Source organism: Homo sapiens, chromosome 12 (assembly GCF_000001405.40).
Source record: "Homo sapiens chromosome 12, GRCh38.p14 Primary Assembly".
Lineage (NCBI taxonomy): Eukaryota > Metazoa > Chordata > Mammalia > Primates > Hominidae > Homo > Homo sapiens.
The window spans coordinates 14,451,595-14,465,275 of NC_000012.12; the positions used below are offsets into that span (position 1 = coordinate 14,451,595).

Sequence of the window (13,681 nt, forward strand, 5' to 3'; positions counted from 1 at the left end):
TTTACCTTCTTCTTTGACTTGTTGGTTTTTTTTTTTAAACAGCATGTTTAATTTTCACATATTTGTGACTTTTCCTACTTTTCTTCTGCTGTTGACGTCAAGTTTCATTCCATTATTGTCAGAAAAGATACTTGGTATGATTTCATTCTTTCTAAATTTGTTAAGACCTGGGTTGTGACATGCGACCTATCCATGAGAATTTTCTATGTGCTCTTGAGAAGAATGTGTATTCTGCTGTTGTTTGATCCAAGCTTATCCTATGTGTCTGTTAGGTCCAATTAGCATATAGTGTTGTTAAAGTTCTCTGTTTCTGTGTTGATATTCTGTCTGATGGTTCTATCCATTATTGAAAGTGGGGTATTGAAGTTTCCTACTATCATTGTGTTACTGTCTGTTTCTCCCTTCCATTCTTTCAATGTTTGTTTCATATATTTGGAGCTCTGATGTAGGGGTGTGTGTGTGTGTGTTACAGCTGGTGAAAGTACCCTTTTATCATTATGTCCTTCATTGTCTGTTTTGACAGTTTTTGACCTAAAGTCTATTTTGTCATACATAAGTATGGCCCATCCTTACTCTCTTCTTGTTACCATTTGCATGGTAATATTTTTCCATCCTTTCACTTTCATTCTGTGTTGTATTTTGGATCCAAAGTGAGCCTCTTGTAGGCACCATATAGTTGGATCTTATTTTAAAAAACATTAAGTCAACCTGTCGTTTGATTGGAGAATTTTATCCATTTGCATTTAAATAAACTGCTCATTGGAAGGGACTTATTGTTGTCATTTTGTTTTTTTCTCTATGACTTGTAGCTTTTTTTTGTTTCTTGATTCCTTTGTGTTTCATTGCTTTTTGTTTTTCTTTTGGTATAGTAGTGTGCTTTCATTCCTTTTACAGTTCGTTTTGTGTATTTTCTTTAGATGTTTCCTCTGTGGTTACCGTGGGGATTACATAAAACATCCTAAAGTTACAACTGTCTATGTTAAACTGCAAATAACTTTAATCATATAAGAGCGCTAGTCTATATCTGCCTCACTATGACTTGATGTTACTGTTGTCGTATATCACATCTTTTTATGTTGTGTATCTGTTAACATATTTTTAGTTTTTTTAAGCTTTTAAGTTCTATACCAGAATTAAAAGTGGTTTATGCACCAATATAACAAGAATACAGGATTCTGTATTTTTCTCCTTATCAACATTTTCTTAGAGAAGTTTATATTTTTGTATGCTTCCATGATGCATACACTCTTTAGTTTCCACGTGAAGGGCTTTCTTCAGCACTTCTTTTAGGACAGGTATAGTGATGAAACTCCTTCAGCTTTTACTAATCTGGGAAAAATTTTAATTTCACCTTCATTTTTGAAGCATATTATTGCCAGGTATAGTATTCTTGATTGGCAGGTCTTTGATTCAGCCCTTTGATAATATATTATCTCACTCCTTCAGGCCTACAAGATTTCTGCTGAGATATCTGCGTGTTATCTTATGGGAGTTCCCTTGTGTGTTGTTATGAGTTGCTTTTCTCTTACTGCTTTCAAGATTATTTACTGTGATTCAGACAGCTTGGTTATAATGTATCTCAGTGTAGATGTTTTTGGGTTAACAATAGTTGGAGGTCTTTGAGCTTCTTGAATTTGCATCTCCATTTTCTTCTTCCAGTTTCAGACATTTTCAGCAATTATTTATCTTTCTCTCTGTCTTCCTTTACTTCCCTTATGTGTATATTGGTCTGCCTGTTGGTGTCCCAAAAGTCCTTTAGACTTTCTTAGCTTTTTTTCATTCTCTTTTTGCTCCTCTGGCTTGATAATTTCAAATGACCTGTCTTCAAACTTGTGGACTTATTTTTCGGTTTGATCCGGTCTGCTCTTGATTCTCTACAGTGAATTTTCATTTCAGTGTATTCTTCAGCTTTTTAATTTGTATTATGATACGTTTTTACAGTTTCTCTTTGTTGATATTTTCATTTTGTTCATGCACCCTTTTCCTGATTTTGCTGTTTTCTGTCGTCTCTTTCACTTTCACCTAATTGAGTATCTTTTTTTTTTTTGAGAAGGAGTTTCGCTCCTGTCGCCCAGGCTGGAGTGTAACGGCGCAATCTCCACTCACTGCAACCTCCGCCTCCTGGGTTCAAGCGATTCTCCAGCCTCAGCCTCCTGAGTGGCTGGGGTTACAGGTGCCCACCATCACGCTCGGCTAATTTTTGTATGTTTAGTAGATACAAGCTTTCACCATTTTGGCTAGGCTGCTCTTGAACTCCTGACCTCAGGTGATCTGCCCGCCTCGGCCTCCCAAAGTGCTGGGATTACAGGCACGAGCCACCAGGCCTGGCCAGAGTGTCTTAATGATAGTTATTTTGAATTCATTGGCAGATAATTCATAGCTCTCTGTTACTTTAGGGTTGGTTTTTGGAGATTTATTTTATTTATTTGATTGGACCATGTTTCTCTGTTTATTTGTATGCTTGTTGAAATTTTAGCATTTGAAAAAACAGCCACATCTCCCAGTCTTTGTGGACTCTTGTACACAGGAAGGGCTTCACCAGTCAGCCTTGTTAGAGAGTCTGTGGGCCTCTAACACCTTTTTTTGGCTATGTGTCTTCTCTGGGCTTTTGCTTGTACTCTTCCATCTGAAGAGGTTTGCCTCTCTACTCTGAAGCTCCCTCTGGTACCTGTCTTTGCTATAGCAGCCTCTGGTACTTTGGCAAGCTGTTGTATTAGTGCTTCCCCTGCTGTCTGTCTGTGTTACTGCAATTTCTCTGGTGCTCTATCAAGTTGAGGGTCCTGCCTTTGGTCTCTGAGGCTCACAGGCATCCGAAGTGCCATAGTCACAGTTCTTGCTCCAGATTAGTCCTCCATGTTGGGTAAGACAAAATCTAATGCGTTGGGCATCTTTCTTAAACAGTTGGATTCAAGCTCCAACTTTCTCTTTCCTTTCTGATGTAGAAGCTGTGTTGGGAGGTTGATGGGGTATAGTGAGTAAATGCAATGTATTTTCCTAACTGTTCCAGTGTGCCTCTTTTTGGCCTTGTGCTCACCTGGGATGGCATACCCTCTCAACTAATTTGTGGAAATCTCATGCAGGCAATATGATGCTTATCTTGTTAAGTCATCTCCATATGGGAAGCAGAGGGGACTTCCTGTTCTGACATGTTGCTGATCATACCACAGTTTTCAAAAATCCTCCATCAAATGACTCCTGTGTTCTAAACCATTTATTTATTCTCTATGCTTTTATTCTTCTTGTTTTTCTCCTGAAATATTCTTTTATCTTAACCATTTTGAGTGTAATAATTACTCAATGATGGCCAGGCACAGTAGCTCATGCCTGTAATCCCAGCACTTTGGGAGGCTGAGGCGGGCAGATCACTTGAGTTCAGGAGTTCGAGACCAGCCTGGTCAACATGGCAAAACCCCACGTCTACTAAAAATACAAAAATTAGCCGGGCCTGGTGGCAGGCACCTGTAATCCCAGCTACTCAGAGGCTGAGGCAGGAGAATCGCTTGAGCCTGGGAGGCGGAGGCTAGAGTGAGCCAAGATGGTGCCGCAGGATGGTGCACTCCAGCCTGGGCGACAGTGAGACTCTATCTCAAAAAAAAAAAAAAAAAAATTACTCAACAATGTGCTTAAAGATGCATTCCTTTCCCTAAAAGCTTTTCTTTTTTAAGCTTTTTGCATTCGCCTTACACAGTTATTTTAATGTGCTTTTCTCTTGTTTTACATTTGTTTATCTTGACAGCCAGATTTTAAGCACCTTTATAGCAGATTGTCTTAATTCTATTGTTTTTCCCTCTACACGTATCTAATGCAATGTCATACTAGAAGGTTGAAATTATTGTTGTGTCATATAAAAAGTAGCAAGATGTATTTGTTGTTAAGAAGAGTGATTAATGGCATCTGCTCAATGTAATTCTAAGCATTTACTACCTTTGGTTTAATATGTTATTCTTACACTTGACTTAGTCTTGAGTAGAGATATTTTATTCTTCCATTTTTTGTTTGTTTGTTTTTGAGGCATGTTCTGGCTCTGTCACCCAGGCTGGAGTGCAGTGACACAATCTCAGCTCACTGCAACCTCTGCCTCCTCGGCTCAAGCTATCCTCCCACCTCAGCCTCCCAAGAAGGTGGGACCACAGGCGTGTATTACCACGCCTGGCTAATTTTTGTATTTTTTTTTTAGAGATGGGGTTTTGCTACGTTGCCCAGGCTGGTCTGTAACTCCTGAGCTCAAGCAATCCTTGCCTGTCTCAGCCTCCCAACGTGCTAGTATTACGGGTGTGAGCCACTGTGCCCAGCCTCGTTTTAAGAGATAAATGATGATAGTGTTATTAATGATGGAGGCCTAAATAATGATAGTTAATATGTAGGCGTTATAATTCCATTTCTGTATTCCCTGGTTTTGGGGGGAAAGGCTGAAATAAGTTGTTACTGAAGCTTAGATTTGTGACATTTTATTAAATAATTTAAGTCACATAGTGGTAGGTAGTATTTTTTTAAAAAACAACTTAAAAATAATTTTGATTTGTGACATTGGATACCACTTATTTGTTGAATTGGTGGTGCTAATATGATGCCTGCTACATAGTAGGCATTCACTAGCTATTTGTTAAATGAGTGAGTCTGGTTATTCTTTAGATTTATATTGTTAATGTTTTTTAAACTCTTACAGCATGTGAGCCATTCTGGTGTTTTTAATTTATTCTTCATAAGAACACTGAGATGCAGGAATTATTATATTAATCTCTCAAATGATAAGCAGTTGTCTTCAGCAAAGTAAATGATTTGCTTAAGATACAATGAACAAGTGATAATGCCAAGATTCAAATTATTGTCTCAGCTGGCAATGTTTCCCATTATATTAGAACAGTGACAGATAATATATTGACAGGCATCTACAGGTCTAATTTTTTTTTAAAGATTCCCTGTGTGTTGAGTTTTATTTTTACCTTGATTTTTTTTTCTCCCCCAGCATCCACCCAACCCACCAGTATCACCAGGAAAAACTGTAAATGATGTCAACAGCAATAATAACATGTCTTACAGGTGAGAATTCATAGTCTGTCTAGTTTTTAAAAACAGAACAAAGTTCTACTTTCTTTATTTGGTCAAAGAATCTTGCAGTGTAATCATGGTATTTATGTAGAAATAAGTGTTTGGTGTACTTGGTTAGTATATTTTCTTTTTCTGCTTCATTATATTGTTCATCTGTGAATAATACTTTTGCTAACTTATTATAAGGCATTCTTTGGTCACTATATATTTCTTTAACCACTTGTCTTAAATAGTATTCTTTCAAGTAATTGAGAAATGCTTCTGTTAAGGGTGAGAAAGACTAATGTCTGTATATATTAGGACCTACTTTTGGTATTCAGGTTAAGTACTGATAACAGACATTAGAATACAAGAGTTAAGAGTTAAGAGTTAATGCCACAGACCCCAGCATTTAGAAGTCTTTGTGCCAGCTATGCCTCACTGTTTTTGCTTGCAGTTTAGGATTGTGAAACCCAAGTCTAGCCACCCTTTTTCCCCTGTGGGCCACTGCTTATTCTAGATATCAGTTGGTATTCCCTGAGTGGCATATCTATTGACTATTGGTGTGTATATGTATTTCATAGAAATGCAGGCACAGTGAGACAGATGCTGGAGTCCAAAAGAAATGTAAGCGAGAGTGCACCACCATCCTTTCAAACTCCTGTGAATACAGGTAACTTTTTTTTTAAATACCAAAATACATTTTCTTAGGAATTAAAGGCTTTGGTTCTCTTTTCTTACATTCTTTTGAGGTTGAAATGGATTAAGAAATTGGGCACATTGGTCTAAGTACAAAAATTTTGTTAAAAATTCAGGATCAAACTGGGTATGGTGGCACATGCTTATAGTCTCAGCTACTTAGGAGGCTGAGGAGGATTACCCAAACCCAGGAGTTCAAGTCAGCTTGGGCAACATAATGGAATCCAGTTGGTCTCTTAAAACAAAAAAATTTAGGGTCATAGATAAGTATATGTGAAAATACAGTATAGATATTCAAATCTCTATTGTAGTAGTTCACAAACTTTCTGGTCTCTAGATCCCTTTACAATCTTAAAAAATTATTAAGAACCCCAGAACTTTTGTTTATGTGGGTTACATCCATTGATATTTATTATCAGTCGAAATGAAGTAGAAATTAAACAGAAATTTAAAAATGTTTTTAAAATGTTTATTCATTTAAAATAATAGTAGGCTGGGCTTGGTCGCTCATGCCTGTAATCCCAGGACTTTGAGAGGCTGAGGCAGGCGGATCACTTGAGGTTAGGAGTTTGAGACCAGCCTGTCCAACATGGTGAAACCCCATCTCTACCAAAATACAAAAATTATCCAGGCATGATGGCTGGTGCCTGTAATCCCAGCTACTCAGGAGGCTGAGGCAGGAGAATTGAGCTTGAACCCGGGAAGTGGAGTTTGCGGTGAGCCGAGATCACGCCACTGCACCCCAGCCTGGGCAACAGAGTGGGACTTCCTCTCAAAAAAAAAAATAATAAATAATAAATATAAAAATAGATAAAGTAATAGTAAACTCATAATGTCTAACACAAAAAGCTTTTTAAAATGAAACTGTGTATTTTCCAAGCTTAAAAATAGCAGCACAAAGAGCATTATTCTCTTACATTTTTTACATATCTCTTTAATACTTTGAGACATTAAGACAGCTAAAGATAGCTTAAAGGTATGTATACTCATATCTATATCTGTTTTTAGTCTGTTTTAAAATGTTGATTTGGCTGAAGCATATGAAAGAAATCCAGTCTTTTACAAATATATAGATGGAAAAGGGCTAGCCCTTACAGATAATTGTGGATATTCTTCTTTAATACTATCCAGTAGTAGTTTCTTTAAGGTTGGTTGTGAAGTGTAATCTGAAACCACACCAAAGAACTTTTCTAACTCCTCCATTAAAATCCATTTATTGGACAAGCGTGGTGGCTTACGACTGTAATCCCAGCACTTTGGGAGGCCCGAGGCAGGTGGATTGCTTGAACTCAGGAGTTCCGGGCCTGCCGGGGCAACATAGTGAAACTCTCTCTCTACAAAAAATACAAAAAGTAGCCAGACATGGTGGTGCACAACTGTGGTCCCAGCTACTCAGGAGGCTGAAGTGGAAAGATGGCCTGAGCCCGGGAGGTGTAGGCTGCTGTGAGCCAAGATTGCGCCAGTGTACTCGATCCTGGGCGCTAGAGGCAAACCTTGTCTTAGAAAAAAAAAAAAATCCATTCCTCTATCTTGCACTTGGATGGAGTTTTACTAATATTATTCATTGATCATTTGAAAACTATTCACCAAGTTATGCAAATCTTCCAAATGACACATTTTATTAATAAATATTATTTTTAAAAATTACATTTACTGATTTTACTATCAGTTCTACTCAGAGAAGTATTTTAAGGATTTAGGGAGCTGTCATGCTTTCAATGACAGATACAAGTTTTTTCTAATGTTCTTAGTTTTGCTTTAAAACCCAAATGTTATTATTGCTGATAAATACAGTTGGGCTTTTTTCTTTGAAGTGACTGGCTTACCTAGTTTATTTTTAAGAAAAGATCTTCAAAATACCCAAACGTGAATTATCAGTGTGTCTGTAGGTCATTCATTCAAGTAAAAATAGTGTTTCATGGGAAAGACTGCTAGTTGAGTTTACAGCTCAATTGCACAAGCATTTTTCCTTAACTATCCTACTTTGGCACGCAGTAGTTGTCTTATATGTACTGCCTATTTCTTCACATGGAATATTAAGAAAAGAACCCCTATTCAAAGGTTGAGATATAATAAAGTTAATAGTTTTTACCGCTGTATCATGGGGATTCTTAAGTAAAACTGACTTTGTTTTTTACTGTAAGCATGTGATGAAGAATGCAGCGATGTTTGGTCCCATTATACTACCTTGATTTTTGTACTAAAGCATCAGAAGTTTTACTTAGCATTGCTTTTGCTCCATTGGTGCTAATGTCTGCTTATTTAAACAGTCAAATAATGTCTCATTGTTATGAAAATAGTTTTGACATTGCAAACTCCCTGAAAGGGTCTCAGAAAACCCCAGGCACCCCGCTGGACCACACTTTGAGAAACTGCTGCTCTAGTGAACCTGTTATTTTTGGAAAGACTATAAATCAATGAGAAAGAAGTTTGGTCATGTATTTTAAACCTGTTGCAATGAGAATAAACACAAGTAGTTGAAAATTATTATAAAACTAGTGACCAGCATTTGTATTTTCTCTGTTCTTCTGTATATGCTACCTCATTTCTTCTTAATTCATCTGTCATCTTCGCTCAGTGCTGTTTTCCATATCATACAATGTCAGTAGGGTGTCAGTAGAGGGAATCTCCCCTCAATAGTTCCTCTCCCAAGGAATTCAATCAAACTTGATCCAAAGATACAGACATGGTTCAAATAATAAAATACGATGAGTAAGCCTACCTGTTATTCATTAATGGTCATGACTCTTTTTAGATTTACTATTTGAGTTTATATATTACTTGTGTTGTAAGGCATTTATAATGTTTTTAATGTAGTTTCAAAAATATATATTTTTACTTAACTTTTTAGTATTTTTTATTTGTTTACTAGTTAGGTACTCTAAAGTGATTATAGTAATTTTCAGAGACCGTTTTGATCCTCAGTAGTCTTGCATATTAATCATCGATCATGTGCTGTTTTTGTAATTTACTAAAACTACATGCAAAATGCTTCTATGAATTTAATTCTAAATTAAATTTTGGAATTTAAATCTGGAAAAAAATTTCATGATAAAAGACTTTACAGTCTTTGCAATGTATTACGCAATGTATTTAATTTGTGTCTGTCATATTTTCTTAGTTGATAAATTAATATAACCATTTAAACTGAGGCTTCTGTTTTCTTTCTATAGTATCTTCAACCAATCTTGTCACTCCTCCAGCAGTTGTCAGTAGTCAACCTAAATTGCAGACTCCAGTGACTTCGGGTTCCCTCACAGCAACGTCAGTTCTTCCTGCACCCAATACAGCTACTGTAGTTGCTACTACTCAGGTGCCTAGTGGAAATCCCCAGCCTACAATCTCTTTACAGCCTTTGCCAGTGATTTTGCATGTACCTGTTGCAGTATCCTCCCAGCCTCAGCTTCTACAGAGCCATCCAGGGACTTTGGTGACTAATCAACCATCTGGCAATGTTGAATTCATTTCTGTGCAAAGCCCACCTACAGTGAGTGGTCTTACCAAAAATCCAGTATCCTTGCCATCCTTGCCAAATCCCACTAAACCAAACAACGTTCCTTCTGTGCCCAGTCCTAGTATTCAAAGGAACCCTACTGCCAGTGCTGCACCATTGGGAACAACACTTGCTGTGCAGGCTGTTCCAACAGCACACTCTATTGTACAAGCCACAAGGACTTCTTTACCCACAGTGGGCCCATCAGGACTCTATAGTCCATCAACTAATCGAGGTCCTATACAGATGAAAATTCCAATTTCTGCATTTAGTACTTCGTCTGCTGCAGAACAGAACAGCAATACCACCCCAAGAATTGGTAAGTCACCATGTAGGTTTAATACTAGAAATGCAAGCATCTTAATAGCCTTGTAATGATTGAACTTTTTTTTTCTAAGTGGCTAGCGTTATTGGAAGTACAAAATAAATAGAATTTTCTTGATTATTTTTAGTAATTTTTTAGATACCTGAGAGAAATGATGTTGCTAAAATGGGGCTTGAGAGGGGTTTTATTTTGAATTAGAAGTTAGTATCTGTGTTTTATCTTTTAGTAATTTTCCTAAGTTTGGTGAATTTTTAATTTATGGCTTTGTGGCAAGCATTATGAGTTACTTTTATGATACATTTGCCAGCAATATCGTTTAAAACATTTTAAAGTATCAAATTTACATAATATATGCTTTTAAGAAAAAAAGACACGTTTATGTTCCTTACCCATTTGGAAAATCCTTTGTGCACTCACTCATAGCTTCCAAATTTGAACAACTTAAAAATAAGTTTTTCTTTCACATTTGCTATAAAATGTTTGAGTCCTTCTTGTTTTATCTTTTCCGTGTTTTCCCATATGACATATTATATGATTGTTTGTATTTTACTTAGAAATATTGCAAAAAGGAGCACTTGATTATACCTGTTTAAAATCTGCCAAACTCTGTGTCTTCCTAGTTCCTAGAAAGAGTTTGTTTTGTATGCATTCTTGAACTTGCTTATTCTTCATTTCTGACTTCACATTTATGTGCACTACTTTTGGAAAGTCATGCAAGGGTAGGCATCATGTGTCTAGTAAAATTGCTACAGTATTTTTCTTATTGATGTTGTAAGTGACCATGTAATATAGGAAACAAATTCTAAAGTACAAAATTACTTTTATAAGTGAGATGTACAAGCCTTAGTTTTTATTTGTCATATAGCCATTACTAGTGTAGTTACTCCCTAAGTGTTTTCTCATATAAAACAATGACGGTATTTCACAGAGTTGTTAAGAAAGTAAATGAATGGCAGATCAAAATTAATGTTGGATTGAAGCTGGATATCACTCATCATTATCATATTTATAAGAATAAACTAATGTTTTATATGAAAGTGTAATTATTATTTATAGTATTTACAATTTAAATGTTTGCATAGTACAGGGCAAATGTTTGTTAGTGTTATCTGCTACCACATTATTTTTTGGATATTCTTTCATGTTTACAACACTAAAAGAGATGCTTACTTTTAACTGAGGTCAGTGGACATACAAGATTTTTGGGTGATAGTTTATTTTTCTGTAACTTCTTTTTCTTTTAGTTCTTAGTATTTTTTAATGTCAGATCATTTAGTGATGGACATTGTTTTATGTGATTTTGGGTTTTCCTCCTTATGAAATTTTGAGGCAAGGTTGACATTGTTTTAAATTCATGGTCATGAGATGAGATATATTCTTAAATAGAGAACTTTTCCTGAAAAACCATGGCTTGAAATATTTTAAGAGTATTTTGTTTAATGTCATGCTTGTACTCCAAACACTTCTAAAAGTGTCAGAATTATAATTTCATTATTCTGTTCTCTTACAATTTTTATAGAAAGGATATATTCCCCAAATTATCTGGTTGATGTACACTATTAGTAATTCATGTCAGTCTGTTTCATTTGACTATTCTTAACTTTTTTATATAAAAGTAAGTTTTCACAATCATTAATTGGTATAGCATTCTGAGATAATGCACAATTATTTCTAAACATAAAATTGTATATTTTAACATGTACATTTATATATTTTTAATATGTAATTATATCAAGATCTTCATTTCAAGTTCCATTTAGAATGCTTACCTACATTTGATAATGAATAAATGTGAATGACAAGCTTTGTATTTTTTTCATAATGCTAACTAAAATGAGATTTTATGAATTTGCTTATTCTTCATTTCTGACTTTATTAATAAATTATTACTTATAATATGTTATTTGATCAGGTATAATTTCAGCAGTGCCATAAATGACGTTAAAGTAGGCATTTGGCTTTTTAGGATTCCCAAAACCTAAACTGAAACCAAACTTTGGTACATCTCTACTACATTTAGTAGTTTGTGATTAATTAATTAGGTTATATAATTAAAATTTTCTAAGCTCTATACTTATGTGGGTATTATGTTTACTTAAAAGAACATATGCTATATGTTCATGCATTTGTATGTATTTTATTGTAGCTAAGTATATCCTTATGGATTTTAAATCACTATTTTCTGTTTATAGTGAGGTAAATGTCCTAAGGGCTTGGAAATTTAAAGCTCAAACTATAGCTAATTTCATTCATTCACAAAGTAATGAATGTCTGTATTATCTTAGGTTCTTTAGATACACAGAAATGTATAAAATAGTCACTATGATCTCACCAAGCTTACAATCAAATAGGGAATGTGGTAATTAAATAACTAATTAATTATAAATGTGATGAGTGTTAGAATTTGCAGGTTTTTGTGAGAGGACAAAAGAGAACATGGGAAATCTGGAAAGATATGAAGTAATGAACAGAAGAATGGGGGAAATACGGTTAAAGGGTTTTTGTAGGGGGTAATGTGACATCCATGAACCCTGGTTACAGTATGGAGAATGGTTTGGAAGGGGTAGGAATAGTGTTAGGAAGACCAATTAAGAGGCTGGAGGCTCTTGTACTGTACAAGATGAGAGATGGTGGTATGAAAAAGATTTAAAAGTTATTTAAGAGGTAGCATTGGCAGTACTTGGTAATTAATAAAAGTTCAGATGTGTGGAAGAGATGGAGAACTCAAAGATGACTCAGCTTTCTAAGACATTGTTAAATGCTGTTCCATTTACTAAACTAGATATTAAAAAAAGAACAGATTTGGGGGAAAGTTATATACAATCCATATACAATGTACTCTCTCAGATTTCATTAAACATCTTGTTCTAAGACTATATAAAACTAGAGTTGGCTAGGCATGGTGGCTTATGCCTGTAATACCAGCACTTTGGGAGGCTGAGGCAGGAGGATGGCTTGAGCTCAGGAGCTCGCCACCAGCCTTGCAATATAGTGAGACCCCCATCTGTACAAAAAATAAAAAATTAGCTTGGCATGGTGATACATGCCTGCAGTCCCAGCTACCCAGGAGGCCGAAGCAGGAGGCCGAAGCAGGAGGATTGCTTGAACCCAGGAGGTCAAGGCTGCAGTGAGCCATGGTCGTGCCACTGCACTCCAGCCTGGGCAACAGAGGAGGTCCCTGTCTCAGAAAGAAAAACAAACAAACGAGAGTTTAAACACAGCAATTATTTCTTCAACCATTTCTTCAAGGACATAATTAAATGAGCGAAGTGTTTGCCTTTTTTCTGTTCATACAATTATCCAGAGCTACTAAGAGATAACTGCCAGTTTAACTCCTGTAAAGTGCTTTTTAATTTTATTTACTTTTATTTGTATTTTTATGGAGACGTATTCCATATGATAGAAGGATTTTAAGCTATAATTTCTTATTTTACATCCTGACCAGTTTTGTTGCTTGATAGATGGAGTTATAATATTTATATCCAGAAGTCATCCAAGGTAGATCTTGTAGAAGAAAGGAAAAGCAATGCAATGGAACTATAAGATGTTACATTAAGAATCAAGGGAAAAAATCTGTAATAACGGGCAAGGAATGTTAGTTGAGAATCTAGAATAAGGAATATCATTACAGTTTTGTGAATAATTAACATAGCTCTGAGGCAATTAGGTCTAAGAGAGAATCATGCTGGGTAACAAAGAAATGTGTGTGTAACATTTTATTAAGCAGTCTAAATCTTTCTTGCATCTTTAGGAATTTTCTTATATGAAAATGTTATGACAAAAAATAAAAATGAGGCCAGGTATGTTGGCTCATGCCTATAATCCCAGCACTTTGGGAGGCTGAAGCAGGTGGATCACTTGAGGCCAGAAGATTGAGACCAGCCTGGCCAGCATGATGAAAGCAGGTCTTTACTAAGTAAACAAAAATTAGCCAGGCATGGTGGCACACACTGGTAGTCCCAGCTACTCAGGAGGCTGAGACGTGAGAATCTCGAACCTGGGAGATGGAGGTTGCAGTGAGCCAAGATTGTGCCACTGCACTCTCGCCTGGGTGACAGCAAGACTCTGTCTCAAAAAGAAAAAAAATAATAAATAAAATAAAGAATTAAAAAATAAAAATATAAAAGTGAAACTTC

At 35.8% G+C, this 13,681-nt stretch overlaps 1 protein-coding gene across 15 annotated transcripts in view; it reads left to right on the forward strand.

The window, feature by feature from the left end:
• ATF7IP (activating transcription factor 7 interacting protein) overlaps positions 1 to 13,681 on the forward strand; it is a 137,249-nt gene that overhangs the window by 85,913 nt on the left and 37,655 nt on the right. For 12 of the 15 annotated variants that reach the window (NM_018179.5, NM_001286514.2, NM_001286515.2 and 9 more), the window contains exons 7-9: positions 4,967 to 5,040; positions 5,613 to 5,701; positions 8,901 to 9,539. In NM_018179.5, coding sequence (NP_060649.3) covers positions 4,967 to 5,040; positions 5,613 to 5,701; positions 8,901 to 9,539 — 802 coding nt within the window. Of the gene's footprint in view, positions 1 to 4,966; positions 5,041 to 5,612; positions 5,702 to 8,900; positions 9,540 to 13,681 lie in introns of those variants that run through there. The other 3 variants (XM_047429149.1, XM_047429150.1, NR_170893.1) reach the window with 2 other exon arrangements.